The 22,645-nt window shown below is 43.7% G+C and overlaps 1 protein-coding gene across 33 annotated transcripts in view, besides 4 other annotated features; it reads right to left on the bottom strand.

Annotated features, from left to right (window-relative positions):
* MTCL1 (microtubule crosslinking factor 1) overlaps nucleotides 1-22,645 on the bottom strand; it is a 127,223-nt gene that overhangs the window by 53,367 nt on the left and 51,211 nt on the right. For 19 of the 33 annotated variants that reach the window (XR_002958167.2, XR_007066128.1, XM_024451115.2 and 16 more), the window contains 2 exons: nucleotides 1,520-1,579; nucleotides 302-379 (listed from right to left, as the gene is read on the bottom strand). Coding sequence is in view for 31 of the 33 variants with exons in the window: in XM_024451115.2 (XP_024306883.2) it covers nucleotides 302-379; nucleotides 1,520-1,579 (138 nt within the window). In the remaining 2 variants the exon portion in view is untranslated. The remainder of the gene's footprint in view (nucleotides 1-301; nucleotides 380-1,519; nucleotides 1,580-22,645) is intronic. The other 14 variants (XM_024451112.2, NM_001378206.1, NM_001395333.1 and 11 more) reach the window with 2 other exon arrangements.
* Nucleotides 6,843-7,343: an enhancer, noted in NCBI's record as "H3K4me1 hESC enhancer chr18:8772067-8772567 (GRCh37/hg19 assembly coordinates)". NCBI's record gives its function as "activates a minimal SCP1, AML or CMV promoter by ChIP-STARR-seq in naive H9 embryonic stem cells {active_cell/tissue: H9 hESC(naive)}" and the evidence as "EXISTENCE:reporter gene assay evidence [ECO:0000049][PMID:30033119]".
* Nucleotides 7,344-7,844: an enhancer, noted in NCBI's record as "H3K4me1 hESC enhancer chr18:8771566-8772066 (GRCh37/hg19 assembly coordinates)". NCBI's record gives its function as "activates a minimal SCP1, AML or CMV promoter by ChIP-STARR-seq in naive H9 embryonic stem cells {active_cell/tissue: H9 hESC(naive)}" and the evidence as "EXISTENCE:reporter gene assay evidence [ECO:0000049][PMID:30033119]".
* Nucleotides 12,128-12,725: an enhancer, noted in NCBI's record as "H3K27ac-H3K4me1 hESC enhancer chr18:8766685-8767282 (GRCh37/hg19 assembly coordinates)". NCBI's record gives its function as "activates a minimal SCP1, AML or CMV promoter by ChIP-STARR-seq in naive H9 embryonic stem cells {active_cell/tissue: H9 hESC(naive)}" and the evidence as "EXISTENCE:reporter gene assay evidence [ECO:0000049][PMID:30033119]".
* Nucleotides 12,726-13,325: an enhancer, noted in NCBI's record as "H3K27ac-H3K4me1 hESC enhancer chr18:8766085-8766684 (GRCh37/hg19 assembly coordinates)". NCBI's record gives its function as "activates a minimal SCP1, AML or CMV promoter by ChIP-STARR-seq in naive H9 embryonic stem cells {active_cell/tissue: H9 hESC(naive)}" and the evidence as "EXISTENCE:reporter gene assay evidence [ECO:0000049][PMID:30033119]".

Below are 22,645 nucleotides of genomic sequence, written 5' to 3'. Positions count from 1 at the left end.
GGGTTCAAGGCCGAGTCTAAACTGAAGCATATCATTTCTGGTTTCGAGAGATCATTGGATAGCCCCAGGAATGTGGTATGAAAGTAGGTCAAGTCCAACTTTCCATATGACACACGATTCCTGTTGCAGGCAGAGGGCAGGCATGGCCAGGAGGGGAGACACCCAGGGGCCCACCACCATCACCACCAGCGGGAAAGGCCTTGTCAAGCAACAGAAATATATCGCTCTCTGTATATATTCTTTGGCTTGCAAGTCAGCCGTCCAGCCAGCACCCTGAGCGGGTGACTGCCCACGTGCCTACCTTGCGCCGGGGCGCCAGCTTCCTTTGGGTTTTGGTTGCGGGCCTGCAGTTCCCAGGGCGCTCCATTCCACCATTCTGCTGAACAGAAACTCCTTCCTCAATAATCCCACCGGCTGGGTGGGCGGCTCAACGCATCCCAGGTACCAGGGTTTCTGACACGCGCCCAAGGAGCAGCAGCTCCTGTTCCTGGCCTGTTTTACCCTCAGGGCGAATGCAACTCCATGCTGTTCATTTCACAATGGGGCAGAATTTCCCCTTTTAAGGAAAAGATCTTCCCTGGGCAAGAGCCAGTCAACTGAAAACACTCTCAGCCCAGAAGAGTATAAGCACCCAGCAACGGGATGGCAGACTTTAATTTCCCTGTTATTAATGGATTCCAAAATGAGACTGGGAGGTTGGGGAGGGTGGAAGGGAACAGTTGAGCTTTCTGCTGCTGCAGGGGCCTGCCCCCCCTTGAATGATGCCCTGGGGATCAGTGAGTTTGGAGAATGGAGAAACCCAGGGGATCCTTCAGAGGGGAATTCACAGGGACAGGGCTGCAGGAGGTCGGTGGAGGTTGCTGAGCTCTTAGTTACCCCGACTCATTGTGTCTCTCTAATTACTACTTGCTCTCAGAGTGCAGTGAGCTGATATCCCAATAACACCTTTGTTCTCTCCACCACCTAATGCTAGCAGCAATTTAAAAACAGAATCCAGTAAAACAGCTTTACAGAAAAGCTAAGAAAGTTTTGAAGAATACATACTGTGCATCTAGAAAAGGCTGAGAATATTTTACCTTCAATTAGGACCATTCAAGATATCGTTCAGCTTGCACATTTAAAAAACAACAACATTCAAAACAATGTCTTATGAATGACTCGACACCACAGTGGCTGTTTCATTTCACTGTGTGGATGACTTTGAAGGTCAAAACACTTTTTACCATTTATAAGTACTGTCAGGCCCCCAAACTACACTTAATTCTGTTTTACACAAAGCCAGTTCTTTTTCCTGAAGAAATCACCAGCTTGTCAGCGTGAGGGAGAAACAAGAGGGAGGAGCTGTGGGTTTGCAAAGAAAATGTTCACACTGTGGAGGTTAGGAATGAGTCCACGTGTTTGGGCAGGTAATGTTTCTTTGGATGTTTTAAAGGCAAAGCTAACACTTACTGAAAAACATTCAAAATGAGTTGACTTCACTTATAGGAGATGTAACATTAGAATGAAAACCTCTGCTTACCTGGTTAAAGGTTTTCTTCTCCTTGTACATTTCCCGAGTGCTTCTTCTTTTTAGGGAACTCTGAAATAGATCCAAGTGACATTCTGTGACCAAGGGCTCACACGTGATAGCCAGCATTAGCAAACATCGTCCCCATGGGTGGGGACACACACACTGAACGGAGGCTGTTTCCCACCAGAATCAAGAAACAACTTGTGTAAATTTGTTTCTTGCTTTAGAATCAAGAAGCATCAATGTGTAAATGCAGTTGGAGAAGTTAGATGAGGTCTCTGAATCTTAAGATTCTTAAAATCCTAATTATTGTATTTGGGGTATTCCTTAAGTGTTCAGTTTAATGAAAAAGGAGAGTGGCTGGGATAACTTTAACAGTGCAGAGAAGGCAAGAAGAAGAGGAGAAAGGCAGGAAGTTTGGGAAACAGATAACTCATATTTCTGGAGCTGGTTCACGTTCCAAATCATGTTTTGTTTGGGCTAATGTGAGAATTAATTGGTGTTTCCTGGCCAGGTGCAGTGGCTCATGCCTATAATCCCAATGCTTTGGGATACCAAGGCGGGAGGATCACTTGGGGCCAGGAGTTTGAGACCAGCCTGAACAACAGAGTAATAAGACCTTGTCTCCACAAAAAAGAATTTTGTTGTTGTTGTTTTTTATTTGAGATGGAGTCTCACTACTTTGTCACCCAGGCTAGCGTGCAGTGGTGTGATCTCAGCTCACTGCAAGTTCCACCTCCCGGGTTCATGCCATTCTCTTGCCTCAGCCTCCCAAGTAGCTGGGACTATAGGCACCTGCCACCACGCCTGGCTAATTTTTTTTGTATTTTTAGTAGAGACGGGGTTTCACCGTGTTAGCCAGGATGGTCTCAATCTCCTGACGTCGTGATCCACCTGCCTCAGCCTCCCAAAGTGCTGGGATTGCAGGCGTGAGCCACCACGCCCAGCCACACAAAAAATAATTTTTAAAAACTTAGCTGGGTGTGGAGTCATGTGCCTGTAGTCTCAGCTACTAGGGCGACTGAGGCGGGAAGATTGTTTGAGTCCAGGAGTTCGAGGCTGCAATGAGCTATGATCAGGCCTATAGCCATGTACTTTAGCCTGGGCAACAGAGCAAGACCTTGTCTCAAAATAAATAAATAAATAAATAAATAAATAAATAAATAAATAAATAAATAACTAGTGTTTCCTGAGTGGCCAGATAAAAAGTGGTGTGAAGGAAGAGAAGGGCGGCCCTTGTTTACAGAGAAAACCTAACTAGGTTTTGAAATTCTCAGGAAACCCACTCCAACTCATGGCTAAACCTCTATCTTAAAGATCTTACAAAGCTCATAACTTATTCCCATGTGAAATGAAGGCCTTGGCTGTGTCCTTCAGTGCCTGGGAACCCTGCCTAGTTTTACATTATAGACAAGAAATTGCAAATACATCTGAAAATACAAACAGGAGTATGAGTGAAGGGGCCTAGAGGTGTCTGCAACAGACCAACTGGGAGATATGCCAGCTCCTGCAAAGGGAAAGTGTGAAGGCAGAAAGAAATGAGGAGTGAGAAGCATCCTAGAGGAATATGAAGGGATTTGTAGCCTCTTAATCTGCAAAGATTAAGTTAATCCTGAGGAAAGCTAGAAGGAAGCAGGTGGGGAAGCAGAGCTCTGCCGGCCCCAGACCTGTCAAGGCAAGCCTGCGAAAGGAAAGAGACTGTCCCCAACGCCCACCTCCCTCCCCTCTGCAGTTCCACCTCGGGGTCCAGGGCCTCATCTGAGGTCTGCTCAGAGCCCTGACTCTCTCGGCTTTATTCCTGGGTGCCCACCCTGTATCAGAAGAGTTTGCAAAGGAGGCTCTATGCAAGTCCCTTACATCGCAGTTAGAACTTAAGTTCATTAACTCAGCACTGTTCACATTTTAAGTGCCTCACTCTCAGAATGCCAGCCCTTGCCATTTGTGGGAAGAATCCTAGGTTAAGAAACAGTTAAAATTCTAGCTGCCCCTGAGCCTCTAGGAGGCTGGAGACCCGGAAAATATAAAATAGATAACTGAGAGAAGGCCCTCCGAGCAGAGGGCTGAAGAGGGTCACAGAATCATCATGGAGCAGGGGCAGCAGGCTCCCTGACTAACAAAGGTGGAAGGAACCCCAGCTGCAGAAGGCTTTATTTCCTTTAGTCTTTTTGGTAAAGTGGGTCACACTACAAAGAGAACCAGTATCCTCCAACAGGTAAAGGTAAGCCTGTCTTAAAGACAGCTTGAGTTTCTCCACCCTTAATAAGGAAGTTCCCCAAGATTTCTACCTTCATGCTTCAGTTAAGAAGTTTCTTTTGTTTTGTTTTGTTTTGAGACGGAATCTTTCTCTGTCGCCCAGGCTGGAGTGCAGTGGTGCAATCTCGGCTCACTGCAACCTCTGCCTCCCCGGTTCAAGCGATTCGCCTGCCTCAGCCTCCCCAGTAGCTGGGATTACAGGTGTGCACCACCATGCGCAGCTTTTTTTTTTTTTTTTTTAGTAGAGACGAGGTTTCACCATGTTGGCCAGGCTGGTCTCGAACTCCTGACCTCAGGTGATCCACCTGCCTCAGCCTCCTAAAGTGCTGGGATTACAGGATTGAGCCACCGTGCCCGGCCAGAAGTTTCTTTTATTTGAATGAGCTGAGTGAGATAAATCCTGATGAATCAGCAGGCTCTCTCCCAAGCTTTAACCTAAGGGACTTAATTCCAGGGCTGTAATAGCGATCAGGGCCCGCAGTGAGGGCAGAGCCTGCTGTCCCTGGCTTTCATCACATTCTCCCAATGTACGCACTGAAAGAAAACTAAATGAAGTAAAATGAAAGCTAGAACTGGAGACAAAATCTACGCAGAATCATGGGCTGCTGCAAATGAGGCTGGTGGCTAGAGCACATTCTGGGTGGGAGCCCTTGGATGGACTCTTCTAGCCACCCCTACCCCATGTGTCCCTTCCCCTTGCTTATGGGCTGTCAACTGTAGCCCTGAGTCCTGCCATCCTCCTAGCAAATCACAGAACAGGCAGGGAGTCATGGGACACTCCTCCTCCATTCACAGACTCCATTCACAGTGGCAACTAGAATGAAAAACACTGCAAGGGTTAAAGTTTTAAAGTTAACCAGAGGCCAGGGGCGGTGGCTCATGCCTGCAATCCCAGCACTTTGGGAGGCCGAAGTGGGCAGATTACTTGAGGTCAGGAGTTTGACACTGGCCTGGCCAACACGGTGAAACTCTGTCTCTACTAAAAATACAAAAATTAGCTGGGCGTCGTGGCTTACGCCTGTAATCCCAGCTACTCAGGAGACAAAGGCAGGAGAATTGCTTGAACCCGGGAGGTGGAGGTTGCACTGAGCTGAGATGGCGCCGTTGCACTCCAGCCTGGGCAACAGAGTAAGGAGAAGGAAAGAAAGAAAACAGAAGGAAAGAAAGAAAAAGAAAAGAAAGAAAAGAAAGAAAAGAAAGAAAGACCAGAAATTTGCAGAACCTGTATAAAAGAAACCATAGAACATTGAAGATCAGCATAAAATAATGCTTAATGCTGCCTAATGGGAAGACCTTGTAATAAAGACGCCATGTTTCTTCCAAACCATTTTGTAAGCATGATGTCATTTTAACCAAATTCCTTAAAAAAAAATACACACACACACACACACACATTCGAAAAGAGTGTGTGTATGTGTTTGTGAGTGTGGTAAGAATGGACAAAGTAATTCAAAAACTCATCAAGAACAGAAGTTGGCGAACCATGGCCCTCAGGACAAATCAACCCACAGCCTGTTTTGTAAACAAACTTTAATTAGAATACAGCTTCATTTATCACTGTCTATGGCTGCTCTCCACTGCGAGGGCGGAGTAGAGCACTAGTGACAAACTGTTGGGGCCTGCAAAGCCTCAAACTACTTTGCTGACCTCAATTTAGAAAAATAAATTGGTGAAAATTGCCAAGAACACTTTGAAAAGGAAAAATAATGACAGTATTTGTGCTATTAGATATAAAAATTCAATACAATGGTTCGGTGCTGGTATAAGATAGACAGATTAATGAAACTAAATAGAAGGCTCAGAAATAAAGAATATATGAGATTTTAATAATCAATACAGGTCATATTTTGAACTAGTGAGGAAAGGATGAACTATTTGGTATGTGTTGGTGAAACAACTAAACATATTGTGAGATCAAAAAAGGTGAGACACACACTATATACAGATAAATCTTAGATGAATTAAAATTTTAGATGCAAAAAAACATACAAGGAACGAGAAAAAAAAGATGAATTGATGTGTGTTCTTTATAAACACAGAAACAAAAGCAGAAACATCCAGAGAAAAGATTGATAGATTGGTAAGATTTTTAACTTTTAAAAAGAATACATCAAAAGAAACCACTTATAGTATTAAAAGGCAAATGACAAACTGGAAAAAAGATTTTTCTAACACGTGACAGACAAAAGAGTAGTATCTTGCAAGCAACAGAAAACACATCTTAATAAAATAAACAAACGGCCAATAAACACAATTACTGACAATTAAAACAAGATTTTTTTTCACTTAGACATTTATAGACTCAAAAAAGTAGGGCACTCAGTGTTAGCATGAACCCAGGGAGACGGGCACTTCTGTGCACATGAAGGGGCATGAGAAACCCGCAGCATGGCAGGGGGTGCAGGGGGATGGTGGTGCAACTTGGCCTTACAAAGGCATAGGTTGAGAGGTGTAATTCCACCTCTGAGAACATACCCTAAGGACAAGAGACATGCACCAAGATTTATAAATGAGAATACTCTTCACCGCACCTTCTATCATCGTGAGTGAGTACTATGGAGGTATTACAATTTTTTCCTTTTATTTTATTGTATATATTTAAGATACACAACATGATGTTTTGATATGCTCATCTCAGAATACACATAGTGAAATGATTGCTACAGTTAGGCAAATCAACATAACCATCATCTCATACAGTTACCTTTCTTTCTTATTATTTTTATTATTTTATTTAGGGTTAGCATCCCTAAAAGCTATGCTCTTAACAAATCACTAGTACACAATACAATAGGACTCATTATAGTCCTCATGTTGTATACTATATTTCTAGACACAGTCATGCTTTTGAAGACTATTTAAGGATATAGGAAATGCTCATAATACACTATAAAGAAAATACAGGTTACAGACAGCATATATTTAGTGATCTCAAAATGCTTAAAATATATTTATATTTAAGATATAACATACTTTTTATGTTATATACATAACATGTATGTTTATGTTAACATACATATTAAATACTAATATATAACACATATATATAACATAATAATATATAACATATATACATATAAGGAAAGTGGCCTGGAGCAGTACACCCCCAAATGTTAATGGTCATCATGTTCAGGTGACAGAATTATTAGTGATTTTCATTTTCTTTCTTTGTGGCTTTTCATAAATGATCTACAGTAAGTACTATTTCCTTTAAAATGGAAAAAAAAAGGTCAGGAAAATAAAACTTGTATTTTAAAGACGTCAGAGAAAAGAGACTATCACAGATCTCCTATGTGGGATTGCAATGACAATTCAATGGAAGTTATTCACCGATTTCTTGGGTCTCTTCCCACAAGCTGATATTGTTTTCATCAGCTTGGTCCTTCGAATATAGCCTATGCATATGTGGTTGGTTAAAAAGACCAGGAAGCCCCCTGAGGGTTGGGGAAACTGGCCAGGTATCCCACTGCATTACACAACTCCAGGCATATGGTCCCCTGGCCAAGTGCCAAGCAGTCATGAGGAACAATCACTGTGCCTCCAAGCACAGAGCCACGCAGGCTCCTCAATGGCCACCTGCCAGGGTCTCGTCCAGTGTAGCGTGCTAGATGCCACCGGACTCTGGGTGAAGTGTCCACGGGTGCAGGACAATTTGCGTGTACATTAGTCATGCCCAGTTTATTCCTCTGGATGCCTCAGAGAGCCAGTGGAGAGTCTCTTCCAAGGAACAATGAAGGGAACAGGTAAATGCAGACTATTAAATAACAGGAACCCCCCCAGTGGGGGCTTTGCCTGGTGACTAATTCTACTCCCTCCTTTTAGCCTGATCAATTGCCAGCAAATCAATTGCATATTCCTACTGAAAAGAAAAAAAAATTAAGTTTGTGAATCCAAATTGAATCCATCTAAAGCTGATGCCTTGCTGAGTACTGAAAATGATTAAATAAAATATGAAGTTAGGCAATTATTTGGACTTTCATGTCAATTCTTAATGCTTCCTATTTTAAGTTGGCCAATTTCTTCCACACAATTTCAGAAAAATTAATAAGCTCTCAATTGCTAAAGTGTGTCAGAGACAGACTTTGAAAGTCTAAATTTTTAAAAAATTTAGATTGGTAATAAAAGGAGACAAATAAAAATTAGGATGCTGTAAATTATAAGTCAGTATGGGAACGAGGATGTAGATGCAGACTGATAATTTTCAGAATTCTTACAGATTCTTATTATTTAGAAAGTTTGTAGGTTTTTGGGGGGTAGTTTATAAGACACACAGGTATAAAACCAGATTAAGGAAATGAAGGTGCAGAGGTCTTCTTCTCCCTTTTAGAAGGAAGTTATTAAGATTCCTTTACTCATATTAAATCGGTCATGGGAGCTCACGCCTGTAATCCCAGCACTTTGGGAGGCTGAGGTAGGGGGATCATTTGAGGCCAGGAGTTCAAGAGTAGCCTGAGCAACATTGCGAGACCCCATCTCTATCATATAAAATAATTTTTAAAAAAAGATTATTTTACCCATATTAAAGTTGTCATTTAAGTGCCAGAAGATGTGAAGGATGCGAATTAATTAGCCTCTCGTTCAGCCACGGGCACTATGTCCTGGCTGGAAGATGCCTCCTCCCCCTTCCTCCTGTTCACTCATCCCTTTATTTTATTTGTTTTTATTCTAAATATTATGCCATAAGAGGTATTATTTATTTATTTATGTTTTCACCTATCCCTTTAATAGTTCCGGGGAGCCTGCTTCCTTTCACACCATGGAGCTGCTTGCTTCACCTTGCACTGGAATTACACAACAGGACCCAAAAAAACAAATCCACTTCTCAGATCCAGTGGAAAACCCTCCTTAGCAATAATGCAAAGGAAACCCTTTCTCCTTGGCCTTGTTAAGAGCACAGTGATGATAATGATATTAACAACTACCATATGTGTTGGGCACCCACTCATGCCAGGCACAATGCTAAACTCTCTTTACACATCTGTTATGGACTAAATGTTTGTGTCTCCCCAAATTCCTATGTGGAAGCCCTAATTCTCAACGTGCTGGTATTAGAAGTGAGGCCTTTGGGACGTAACTAGGTTGCAATGAGGTCATGAAGGTGGAACCCCCACAATGGGATTAGCGTCCTTGTAAGACGAGGAAGAGGCACCAGAGCTTCCTCCCTCTGCCACGGGAGGATTCATCGAGAAGGCAGCTTTCTGCAAGCCAGAAAGAAGGTCCTCACCAGAACCCAACTCAACCCTGGACTCTGAGGCTTCCAGAACTGTGAGAAATAAATGTGTTCTTTAAGCCCCTAGCCTGTGATATTTTGTTACAGCAGCCCAAGCTGACTAAGACAATATCTAATCTAATTCAATCCTGTCAAGAGTCTGGGGAGGCATATGTTATTACCACTGAGTAACAGACAAGAAAACTAAAACACAGTCAAAAGTTGGGTAATGTTTCAAGATCCCCTAAACTTGGAGATGGGCCACCAACCTGGGCCCAACCCTAAGCCTACATTCAAGGTCACAGCCCTCAGACCCTCAGAGCTACCTTCCAGGACTCTCATAGCCCAATCGCCCATATTTGGGCTGTTTTCTGGTTTCTTAGCCCCAAATTGCCAATTTTTCTCATCCAAAAAATCTTTGCCTTTCTTTAGCAAAAGAGCACAAAGGACTATTATAGGAATGGTTACAAGTTGCTACATTCGCAGGTGCTGCATGGCTATGAAATAATATTTGTTGGCACTGATGATTTCTCAAAGGATCTGAGGCTGCAGACAGCAGAATTCCTTATTTGGAAAAGTAAGACAGAAAACTATTATTAGAGGACAAATGTTATAAGTAAATGAGGGAAAGAAGAGGAAAATTACATTGAGACACTTTGGCTAAAGAAGAGTGGGGCCATGAGCCAGAGCATGGTTCAGGATTCCCAGCATCCAAGTCAAAGAGTTTGGGAAGGCCCCAAAGGCAACAGCCTGGCCAGCAAGTGGAAGGTCAGGGTCACCAGGCCACCTGGGATGGACACAGATGCCCAGCACACCCCCTAGCAAATGCCACTTTCTCCTGCACATGCAAACTCGGGAACATGACATACATTTGCTTTGCAATATGAGCTGGTTGGCTCATTTTAACCTTTGTGATATGTACCTTGAAGCCTAGTTTTTGGAAAAAACTAGGTATGTTTTGGCTAAAACATACTATCACATAGTACTCTGAACCAAACATTGCAAAATAAACTAAATCAAAGGTAATAAAGTAAAACTGTAAATTATAACTACAGTGCAAAGAAAAATTGTAACTGATGACCATGACAAAACCATAATGATGACTGCACCAAAAACAAAGTATCCTTCCCCCAAACTGCAAGAATCCCAACTCTGTGCACATCCATGCTGGCACTTAGCAATACCATGGAGCATAGTAGGAAATATGGAATCAGAATCCTACATTTGAGAAACCCCTACAGATGGGCCCTTGGGCATTTATAAAAGTTGAAAAGTCTGTAGAAACATGACATTTGCCTGTCAGACTGAATATAAGGCTGTGTCTTTTAGAAAATATTCTGTTCCTGGCCAGGCGCGCTGGCTCATGCCTGTATTCCCCGCACTTTGGGAGGCCAAGGCGGGTGGATCACCTGAGGTCAGGAGCTCGAGACCAGCCAGGCCAACATGGTGAAACCCCATCTCTACTAAAATACAAAAATTAGCTGGGCCCACGTGCTGATGCACACCTGTAATCCCAGCTACTCGGCAGGCTGAGGCAGGAGAATTGCTTGAACCTGGGAGGTGGAGGTTGCAGTGAGCCAAGATCGCGCCACTGCACTCCAGCCTGGGTGACAGAGCGAGACTCCATCTCAAAAAAAAAAAAAAAAAAAAGAGAAGAAAAGAATCTGTTCCCACCTCTGCCATTGGTCTAATGGAAGGAAATCTACCAGTCCATCAAGAGAGGCAAATTATTTCCTAGTTTCATGAAATAAAGCAAGAGAGTTAGAACTACTTTGAAAACAAAACAAAGCTGAAAAATCATACAAATAAATGATATATTAAAATGTTGCCCTCTTTTCAGAGAAAACCCATCATCAGTTTTTCAGATGCATGTAATGTGAAAAAATATTTAACTGTCAAAGAGCACATAGGAAAGTTCTGAGTTACTCCTCATACTATTTTATATTAATCTGCCAACATACCCTACAGACCCTCTGATTTGACTTTAAGTATGATTCTAATTATAGAGTACACCATTACAGTAGTAAAACTTTGTATATACAGTTGTCAAAACTCAGTGAATGTGAACTAAGATCTGTGCATTTCTGTCCACGAGTTTACTCAAAAAAGATATAAACAAAAATTTAGCTCTAGTTAACAACATGTATTTTGGAGAAAGTGAATAGGCATCTACCATTTATTTTCAAATGCACCAAAAAATACGATGGGTAAATGAATAAAAAGATGGGTAGACAGACATGTGATAAACCAAGTATAGTACAATGTTAACATACAGTGTGAATGGTGGGGATAACAGGTGTTTTCACTACAGAACTCTTTTTGCTATCTGTTTGAAAATTTTCAAAATAAAATGTTGGGAAGAAAGAAATCAGGCACATAAATTTTCATTTGCACTAAAAGTTAATATAATATTGTGTAGCCATTAAAAATCGTGATTACTAAAAAATTTTAATGACAAAATTTTTCATAAAACATTCACCTTTTAAATGTAGGATTAAAAATATATACTTAATATCATCTCAACAAGATTAAATATTTTTGTCTTGGAAATGTTTGGAAGCAAATACACTAAAACGCTAACAGGTCTTATCAATGGGGAATAGAATTATGGATGACTTTATGTTTTTGTTTATAGATTTTTTTTCCATTCCCCCAAATAGTCAAGATTAATTTTTTTTTTTTTCAAATCAGAAAGGTTCTCATTTTTTAAGGACAATGGAATTGACCTAGCGTAATGCAAACATCCCACACCTCCATTAAACCTCTGCTCCGCCTCACCTGGAAATGATGGACAAGACTGATGGACCCCGGGTACTCAAGTCAGACAGAAATGAACAGGAGATTAAACTGCAGGATTAACCCCCAGGCAGGATTAGCTCTGTGCCACTGGGGATCATCAAATACATCTTTGTGCAGAGGACAAAGTAGGGCTTAATGTATATTTGAGGACAGTAAATGAAACTCTGAAACCCTAATTGCCTTCCCAGGCTTAAGGCTTCCTATCCAAGAGACTCTTCCACTAGGGAGGCCTAATAACACCCTGTCCGACTTACTGACCCATACCTGCCTAGGATCCTTGCTATCTGGAGCCACTGCTTGGTTCCATAAATCATCTACTAAACTGTGCTGAAATATCAAAAGCATCACTGGCTAGCATTACTCCACAAAAGCTACTGATGCCCCTTGGGCAAATCTTCAGCAATTCTCATCTCCAAGCACTGGCAGCTAGGATCCCTAGCTCTAAGCCCCAGGGCACAATACTTTAAGTGATTCAAGAGGAGGGGGTAACTTTCTGCTCCATGATCTCATGATTCTTAAGGAGCAAAAACCCTCCCTCCTCCATCAGCCTCTGCCACTGTCCTGGAAACTACAGATTATTTAATTAGGCAAGAGCAGTGAAAGCTGCAGGGAGAGGCACAGGATGCAACCTGCTCCTACAACAGGACAAACCCCTGGAGGCTAGAGAGCTGCTCTGAGGCTGCGGAAGGGGCTGGCCAGCCCTGGTCTTTGAGGTGGGTCAGCCAGTGAGGGCTGGGAATGAACAAGCTTCCCCTAAAAGGCAACCTGGAAACATAAGAAAATCACCAAAGAACAATACCCAGCCCTTGGACTAAGGATGGGCATAGGGCAGAACAGAGGGAGGGAAGTCCCAGCTGCACCTGCCCACCCTCAGCTCTGTCCTGCCCAGCCCTCTCCCAGGAAGGCGGCTGGGCCAGGGCTACAGCTGGGAGCAGGCATTCAGCAGAAAAACAAAACAGCCATGGTTTCATGTGATGAAAACCAAAGAAGTCAGTTTGATTATCTCTGGTGCTGTCTGGAATGAACACACAGGCTAAGAAAGTTAACACCCTCAACTGTCAATATCTCTGCTAGTATATTATATTTATGAGACACAACATTGCAGACAATGTTGAAAAGCAGGATCAGTTGCCAGAGCTGGTGTTTTCACTGCAGCCTTTCAACAGCTAAAGCTATCGTCTGCAAGTCCCCACTGGGGCGCCCCAGGCCCCAGCCTCTGATGCAGACCAGGGCACAGAGCCTACACAGTGTCCCTGCAGCAGCCACGGCAGAGACAGCTGCTCCTTTCTCCCAGACCTCCGACAACTCATGCTTCACCTAGTGGGGAGCTCGGTGGATCAGCTCACACAACAGGCGCTACATGGAGGATGATGGAGGAGGCCTCATGAGGCATCATTCTTTGGCACACCCTGCTGAAACGCAGGCCTGGAGTGCTCATTAACCACGCCTTTCTTGTGTGCAGCATCCGCTGCGTGCTTTTAAAACACATCAATCTCATGTTTTGTCTTCTAAATGACACCAATCTATGACCAGCTTCTCACATCTGAGAAAATCCAGATGTTGTTGGATCTTTATCTGCAAGCTATAAAAATCCAGAAGACCTCCTGTGGGTACATAAGGGTGAATGTGTGCATTATTCAGACTTGTGGCAGCATTGTGTCGGGATGGCTCCTCCTGGGGCTGTCTAGATCCATTTGTGCAATCAGGCTGGACTCTAATGGTTTCTGAGTGGACAGAAGGAAAGAGGCCCAGTCAGGGAGCTCTGTTTGCTGGAAGCTCTGCCTGCTTCCTTCTTTGATGTGGCTGCTCCCTGCTGGGACAGACCTCACATCTCCCAGGAGCCCGCATGACTACTTCTGTTCTATCACTGTTCCAAGGATGAAAGTACATGTCCCGGGTCCTTCTAATGCTTCGGTTCTCGATTTTATTATTCAACAGAATCACTCCCACCCAAAAGAGAAGAGAGAAGCTTCCTTGGAGGAAGCATGGGAGGAGTGGCTTGCCCGAGTAGCTGCAGCACCCTCCTGTTGGCACTTCCATCCCTCGTGTGGTTGGGTCCACTTCTTCCCGAGGACGGGCAGTGTGAGGCACTAACCCAGGAGAAGATGGAGGTGTGCGAAGGTTAAGTGACTTGCCCAAGGACTTGTGGGGGAGGAGGCTCTTGCTCTAGGGTGCTCTGCTTGCCCATATCACAGCTGCCTCTGGCGCACACGCAACCAGGCCACCAACAGTGCAGGGACTTGGCATGGAGGTACTTTTGCTCTTTCAATCAGTCGTCTGTTCAGCCAGTCATTTCTTGCCCCTTGGGCTCACTGGGGCAGAGCGTGAGTGTGTCTCTGGCATAGTTGCCCCAGCTTTTCATCTTCCTTCTACCTCCACCCCGCTCACAGGCTGCATCAACCTTCCTAGGGCACACAGGCCTGCTGCCACGACATTTATCCTGAGGTGCAAATGTGCTTCAAAAAACTAACTGGTGTTCAGAGAAGGAGCCACTTGGAGATCAAGCAGCAAATGGCCTGCAGGTAGGCGAAGGCCAGGGGAAGAACCTTCCTTCATCCCACCGGGTATCAACTCACTTGTTCTTCTTGCCACAAGTTCAAGCTTTGAGGCAGCCCCATGGTGCCCTAGTCACATACCTACATAGGCCACTATTTTGTTTTGACTCTTCCGGGCATTTTATTTCTTCTCTTTTTATCATTGGGAGTAATTGCACCTGTCAGTGCCTCTCAGAGTTAACTGTGTAATTTTAACTGGTTTTTAAAAGCCTCCATGACAATGCCTTTAGAAAAACTTTGAAAATTCAAAGTATAGTTTGTTTTGCATTGGATAATGCACTTTACTCCAAAGTTGACCCAACATCCTTACAAAGTCTCAGTTGTCCAGCAACCATGTGAAAGTGCCCAGGCTACGTGGGTAAAAGGGAAAGGTGAATTAAGGACATGGATGCTCACATCCAAATCCAGGCATATCGAGCCAGCCTGTGGTCTCAATTTCCTTATTTAAAAGTGGGGGGCGGGGGCAGGGGCCAGGGCCAGTGGCTCATGTCTGTAATCCCAGCACTTTGAGAGGCCGAGGCAGGTGGGTCACCTGAGGTCAAGAGTTCGAGACCAGCCTGGCCAACATGGTGAAACCCTGTCTCTACTAAAAATACAAAAAATTATCCGGGTGTGTGGTGCACACCTGTAATCCCAGCTACTTGGGAGGCTGAGGCAGGAGAATCACTTGAACCCGGGAGGCAGAGGTTGCAGTGAGCCAAGATTGCACCACCGCACTTCAGCCTGGGCAACAAGAACGAAACTCTGTCTCAAAAAAAAAAAAAAGTGAGAATAGTACCTTCCTTATATAAAGCATTCTTTTAAAGATCAAATGAAGTAATTTGCTTAACAAGTGATAACCATAAAAAGCAATATTACCCTGCCAATTATGATTCTCTTCTTGTTTAATATTTTCAAGTCCTAATCACCCCCTCCTTTTTTTCAAAGTAGAAAAAAAGACCCACTATTAATCATTTTGGCTTTCTTCTCTCTCTAGGAGAAAAACCAATGTTTAGAAAACAGGCTTTTTCACTCTGCATGGAAAATGTGTGTTTGAAGTATGAACTTTTTCAACTGTGTGATTTCTATATATTCTATATATAGAACAGAATTTAGAACCCTAACTTCACCAAGTATATAAAGTCTGAAATAAAAATCCCAATCTGTTAATTCATAGGAAAAATTTCAACAACAAAATTCGCTCCCACAGTAAGAGGGCATTATTTCTATCATTTCAGGGAGGTAAGTGGGTCAGATTTTCCACAATGCAATTAAGTATGCCAAGAGCCAATGGCAAAAGTGATTTCACATACAATTTATAGGATGAGTCAAACCACCAGGAGAAAACCGATGATGTGTGTTCTCTCCCCTGCTATTAGGACCTAATTAGCAAAGGACAGACACTCCTCTTTGGAACTGACAAGACTTTTTGTCAACATATTAAAATCAAATGAGCAATAAGGCTGAGAGAGACCACTGAACCAAAGGATATGTAGAAGCGTGAAGCAAAGGAAAGGGAAATAAAAGGAAAAGAAGTTAGGAAACCTCTTCCATACAAGAGCTTTGGGTTTAGATGGAAATTGAGACGCTGATAAGAGTGTGACACAAGCTGGGCTGGAGACTCTCTGCCTTGGTGGTGGCCTGAGCCAGATTCACAGGCACATGACATCTCTTTGGAAGTGAACTGGCATCCAATTGGAAAAAATGAGGAGAGACTTAGATTCTGTTCTGTGGTGGTTCTACAGCAGGTTGGACCCTGGGGTCTGGGCGGGCCCATCAGGGAAGCCCCAGCCAGCAGGCCTCATTCCTGCCCCAGGATGGCCACTTCCACGGCTGTCCCTTTCTTGGACATCGTTTTCCTCTTCCTTGATTTCTAACCCCCTGGTAACTCCTGGTTTCAGTTCTGTTTTCTTGCACATAACTGAAGCCAGACAGAACAACTCGGCACATCTTGTCACAGGCCTGCTTCCTCCAGACAGACATGGGACATGTTATCAATGAGGATGTATTGAGCGGGCTTGGTTGGGGGGAGAAGAATTTCTTTGTGCAGCTGGCAGGTCATTTCAGCCTGTAGACTATATAGAAGACTTTATAGAAGCTACCAAACAATAATTAAGAATGAAATTAACAAAGAGGAGAAAGAATACACAGAAACGGAAAGATAACTCAGCCCAGAAACAGCCACTGTAACAACAGATGGGTGCAGACGCTGCTTCCCAAGCCTGAGCCGGGCACCACACTCGCCCCTTTCCCCGTGCTCTCACGCTCATCTCCTCCTTCCCGCCCTATCCCGCAGAGCCTCAGTCCTCCTGCTTTTCCTGCCCCTCACCGAGAGGGGCTCCCCAATTGCTTCCTTCCTGCACATCCCATGCTGTGTGTGCCGATGTCTTCTTGTACCTCCCTTTCAGCTATCAGTGTGATCACTCCTGTTGCCACCCCTGTGGGGGTTCTGGCAGCCGCTCTGTCCTCAAGGGTGGAAGCCACGAAGTCATCATCAATTTCCGTCCTTCCTCACTCCACGTAGGAAACTGCCTTCTGTGGGACAGCATCTTTTCTATCCATTCTTCTCCATGGCCAAGGAAGACTCCATCACCCCGACTGTTCATTTGAGAGCCTCCTTAGTGGGGGTGTCCCCCAAGGGTTGCTCTCCTTAATCAATCCTGAACATTGAATAATGTTTGGGCTGAGAGCAGTCGCGGCAGCTACCCTAGTTTAAATGTCCCAGCGCACACTGCATGGCTGCTTCTCAGCTGATGCTGAGTTCTGTATTGTGCACATTCACAGGCAGGGGTGCAGCTTTACCATGGAGACAGCACAGCAACATGCCTGGTGCCTGCCCTCATGACAGCAAGAGGATGCCATTCGGCGAGGTGTCCTTGAAACTTCTCTTGGAAAATCTCAGCTTACAAAAAGACACCTTTTAAGACACTAATTATCAGGGACTCAAACCTATACCTGAACACCAATACTCACAGGAGCACAATTCACAATCACCAGAAGGTGGAAATAACCCATGTGTTCATCAACACCTGGATGGATAAACAAAACATGATCAGTATGTACCATGGAATTCTATTCAGACATAGAAAGGAATGAAATTCTGATACAAGAATAAACCTTGAAAACATTATGCTAAGTGAAATAAACCAGACAAAATATGAACAAATACTGTATGGCTCCCCTTATATGAAGATATGGTTTGGCTGTGTCCCCACCCAAATCTCATCTTAAATTCCCACATGTTGTGGGAGGGACCCAGAGGGAGGTAATTGAATCATGGGGGCAGGTCTTTCCTGTGCTGTTCTCGTGATAATGAATAAGTCTCACGAAATGTGATGGTTTTATAAAGGGGAGTTTCCCTGCACAAGCTCTCTTCTCTTGTCTGCCGCCATGTAAGATGTGCCTTTCACCTTCCACCATGATTGTAAGGTCTCCCCAGCCATGTGGAACTGTAGGTCCATTAAAGCTGTTTCTTTTGTAAATTGTCCAGTCTTGTGTATGTCTTTATCAGCAGCACAAAAATGGACTAATACATATGAGATACCCAGAATAGACAAATTCATAGAGATAGAAAGAACAGAGGTCACCAGGGTGAAGGGCAGGAGGGGAGTGAGGGATTATTGTTTAATAGGTATGAGCTTCTGTCTGAGATGATGATGAAGTTCTTGAAATAGATAATGGTGATGGTTGCCCAACACTGTGATGTACTTAATGCCACCAAATTGGTGCTTTAAAAAGGTTAAAATGGTAACTTTTACGTTATGTGTATTTATCACAATAAAAATACTAATTTACATCAAAAATTTTCAGTCATAAGCACCCCAAACAAAGATCTACATGTGACTCAACCTGGCTTACATTTTGGGCATCACTGTGCAATCTATGATTTATTGCACCTTCCATGTGAACAGCCCTATATATTCTCTTTCCTCTCCTTTTATGGCCAAGAAGCAAAGACAGGCGAGTACTGCCTTTAATCTGTAAAATACACATCTAGATGGACCCAGACTGTTTATAAATTTTGTGAGGGCAGCCTTTAAACAGTGACCAAAGCTTTAGCAAGTTTTTTCTCCAAAGACCTTACTTTTTAAAAAAATGGTGACACACATTTAAAATTTTTATATTATTACATATCTAAAGGCAGTTTCTTCTCTCTGGACATTTCAAAGCAGCATATTTTAATCAACATGCATGGTTTCTTCATAAGAAGTCATCATTTCTCAATCCTTAATTTATTTGTGGAAAAATATTTCTAAAATGTACCAGAAAATACTAGAGGGAGAAATTTTGATTTTCTAACAGAGTTGTAAAATCTTAAAATTTGTTGGAAATAATGGAGGAGTGCCTTCTACAACAGCTTATCTTTGCTTTATGTAAATGCACACATACACACATGCAGACACACACACACGGTTTCTTACGGAAATATGGGAAGAAAAAAGAAAGAAAGGAGTAAAGAAAGTTGGAAATAATGGAGGTAAAGAAAAAAGGAATGAAGAAAAGGAAAACACTGCAAGCATTACTTTCTATTCCTGATATAGCTCTAGCTGACCCTCTGTATTGACTGAGAAGTCAAAATCCTAACATTTGCTTCCTAGCAGGTGAGTGGGGCCACCCCGCTGAGATGACAACACACCCCTCAAGGCACTGCCCTAGAGAATGTCAGGGGCGTTAGCAAACATGGCACTTGCATCTGCGTCTAACAAGTTTAGACAGCCAACATTTTATATTTGAGATCCCGAATCCTAATACCACCAATATGAGGTGGGGACTCTTGTTCTCATTTCCTGTGTGAGGGAACAGGCTCAGAAGAAGTAACTTGCCCACCACACGGCCAGGATTTGAACCCGTTCTCCTTCCTCACAGCCTGAGACCCTCCATAGCCCGGCACTGCATCTCGGAGAAGGGACTTACAAGGAGGCAGGTTGGACTCACTGAGGGACTGTCCACCTCCTGCTGACCGCTCTCGCGTTCCAGATGGACATGAGGTGAGCCCATGTTCCAGAAGAAGGTATGACAAGGAATGTGCTGTGGCTTTGGGATTTTGGTGACTCCCAAAGGGGGCAAATAGGGGTCTAAGCGCTTCTCATACAGCTGGAGTCGCTTCTGACCTACTTTACAGCATAGCCCCGATGTGCTGTGGTGGAGCAGACCCACCCTCAGGACACCAAGGCCCCATGAGCATGAGCCCCTGGGGCCCCCTGGAGAAACCGGGAATCGCAAACCACGCCACCCTCCCTCTGCCAGGACGTGCACCTCTCACTGATGGGTGCCACCTCTATCCCGCTTCAAGCTCTGGGACCCCCCGCAGACCCAGATCTGGCATTTTCTAGATTACTGGTAGAAACAGGAAATCTATTATAATAACACGTTGACATTTGTGGCCATCACACTTTTTTCTGGAAATTTATGCCAATTACATGCTTCTTTAAAAATCCTGGGCTTGGAAGGGCAACTCCCTTGTAATAGCCTCATTATGGCCTTTGGCTCTTTGAAAAGTTTTCTTCCCATAAGATTGTTTTTGGGTTGTGACAAGTGAGAACCTCTCCAACTCTCCTGCTAGAAGGGTCTCAGAGTGCCCTTGGGAAAAAGCAGTCTCAAAATGATCTAAGCACAGCGGGAAAGGATTAAGGTTGTATATTCCTAGCTGTACAGAAGAAATCATAGTCAACCCTTCACCCTCAAAGAGTCAATGTTCCAGCAGTCTTTGAAATCAACAGGATTCTTTCCAAATTCCTCCTGAACTCAGCTCAGATACCAGCTAGTGACCAAGAATGAATAAAGTATTGAGCCCCAGCAAAGATGCTGAAAATACTTCACAATGTTTTTCTGCTTTGAGAAGAACAAGCATTTACTTTCAGACCTAAGTCATACAGATGATCTCTGCAGAGGGCATGCTTGGTGGCCTGTTAAGACATCAATAAGTTTAGAAGCATTCAGCGTCATCGTGCATGTGATCTGCTACTTAAGTCTTTCCACACGAAGACTTTGCTCACAGGCAATTTTCTTCAAAGTGTGATCGCAAATGCAGAATTGCAAACAGTAACAACATCCCCGTTTTCCTCCAGGATGCTCTCCACACCCCCTGCTGTCCTCTTGTCCTTCTGCCCCTCTACTGTCACTACCTTGGACTGAAACTTCGGAGGAGGTGTTTCAACTGGATTTCACTAACTCCAGTAAGTGGAGGGGGAAAGGGAGGAATTTTTTAGAGAAATCTGCAAGATAGGTATATTTGGTCCTCTCATCTCTGTTTTGAATCTTGTCATCTGGTTTCCCTGGGTATCAGCAGAATTTGCAACAATAGTTTTGTTTCCTTGTGCCACCCATTATTGTCTGATCGCAAACTCCTGATAACCAAGAATTTACAATTACTGAAGTCCCCGGGGCCCTTGGGAGATGAGAAAGCGCCCAAATATGGGATAAGTACAAACCTTTCTCAGGAAAACTTCAGCACAAAGGAACGCAGTCACACAACTTATGCAAGACCAGGCTATGTTAGATTTATCAAGTTCTGGAGCCTACCTAGAATCCTAAAGCAGAAGCACTATGCTTATCACAGGTGAGATTAATCAACCTGAAAGACTGTATCCTTTGCCTTTAATTACCCCAAATCCTATGAATGAAGGAAACCCCAGGTGAAGGACACTGTTGAAATCCATAGAAGAAGAAAATGTGTGAAATTATTTCCACCTAGGAAACAAGGAGTGAGCCATGACTAGATGAGTGGAAAGATCTCCTGGTGGTAGATCTGGCATAACTCCTGAGGGATTAGAAGAGTGGGTGTGGCCAGGCGTGGTGGCTTACGCCTGTAATCCCAGTATTTTGGGAGGCCGAGGCAGGCGGATCACCTAAGGTCAGGAGTTTGAGACCAGCCTGACCAACATGGAGAAACCCCGTCTCTACTAAAAATACAAAATTAGCCAGGCATGGTGGTGCATGCCTGTAATCCCAGCTACTCGGAGGCTGAGACAAGAGAATCGCTTGAACCCGGGAGGTGGAGGTTGCTGTGAGCCGAGATCGCGCCATTGCACTCTCCAGCCCGGGCAACAAGAGTGAAACTCTGTCTCAAAAAAAAAAAAAAAAAAAGACTGGGTGCTACTCATCAACTTTGAGTCATTATTGAAAACACTTCACAAAGGAGCAGCTTGTGATATTTCCTTTTATCTTTCTTGGATAAAAAAGCTGACAAGTCAGTCTTTAAAACCTTTTCCAGCCAAATCCAAGGTTCTAAAACCAAAGGAAGAAAAATTATGTCAAAAGAACCATACATTTTATTGACAGCAATAACAATAAAAGACAATGATAGCATTTAACACCCATAGTAAAAACCTATTGCTTTCAAAAACTGTGAAACTTTTATCAGATCACCTTTATTAGATGACAATACTCCTGAAAAAAAAATCTCAAAAATGCAAATGTGTCTCCAAACATGCCCTGGCATTTGCCATAGACGTGCTTCTGCAAGGGGACACGGCCCTTGCACACACGCCCCTTCCTGTTCTAGATCCCTGCCGGGGTCTCCTCACTGCTGACTGATTGTCAGTGACAGCAGATGCTCACACGATGACAGGTCTCCCGGCTCCCCAGCCTCTTCTATTTTTGTTTTTAACCTGTATTTTCTATAAAAACTTTATGGAAACTTTCTTAAAGGAAGAACCTTTTTGGAGGTGAATCACCTGTTACAAAGTCTGGGGGGTCTCCTTGGTTGCCGGGACACACATCTTTTATCCTACAGCGGCTACTCCTGATCTGGCAACCTCAGGAAAAGAGGTTTCCTATGTTTCCAGGGAACTGAAGCTTTCTCCTGTAGAAGCTAAAACTTAAAGCAAGAATTAAATACACAGAGTCAAGCATTATAGATGGCTGTGAAGTTCTAGACTCCTGGAAATTCTGAACCTGGGATGAAAACACCACAGCTGCCCATGGCATTCAGCAGTGGGAGAGCCAGAATTTCTCATTCTCAGGTACTCTTTCCAAAGAGGCACAGGCAGTCTCCTGCCTTCTTATATGAAAATGACAGAATGCAGGTCAACATCTTCCTTGTGTCTGGGGTCCTCTTACCAGTCTTTGGGGACCCTACCTTGTAGCTCTCTGGCTGACAGTTCCACGGTGCTAATGCTGCTCCCCTCACTCATCACTAGGGTGTCTGCAGTGCCCTTTGCTTTGCAAGTGTCACATCCACCAGGGACTGGGGCCTTAGACAACGACAGCCACTAGGAGATAGAAATCCAGCTAACTTCACAGGGAAGGGCTCTAAGAGGAGACCTTGCCCACTAAATATATTCCTTGGGATTCACTGCAACTTCTTTGGGAATTCAGAGGCTTTTTGAAGCACCCTGC

The sequence above is a fragment of the Homo sapiens genome, chromosome 18 (genome assembly GCF_000001405.40).
Source record: "Homo sapiens chromosome 18, GRCh38.p14 Primary Assembly".
Classification (NCBI taxonomy): Eukaryota; Metazoa; Chordata; class Mammalia; order Primates; family Hominidae; genus Homo; species Homo sapiens.
The sequence above is the reverse complement of the archived record's forward strand: the minus strand, read 5'-3'. Positions and strand labels throughout refer to the sequence as shown.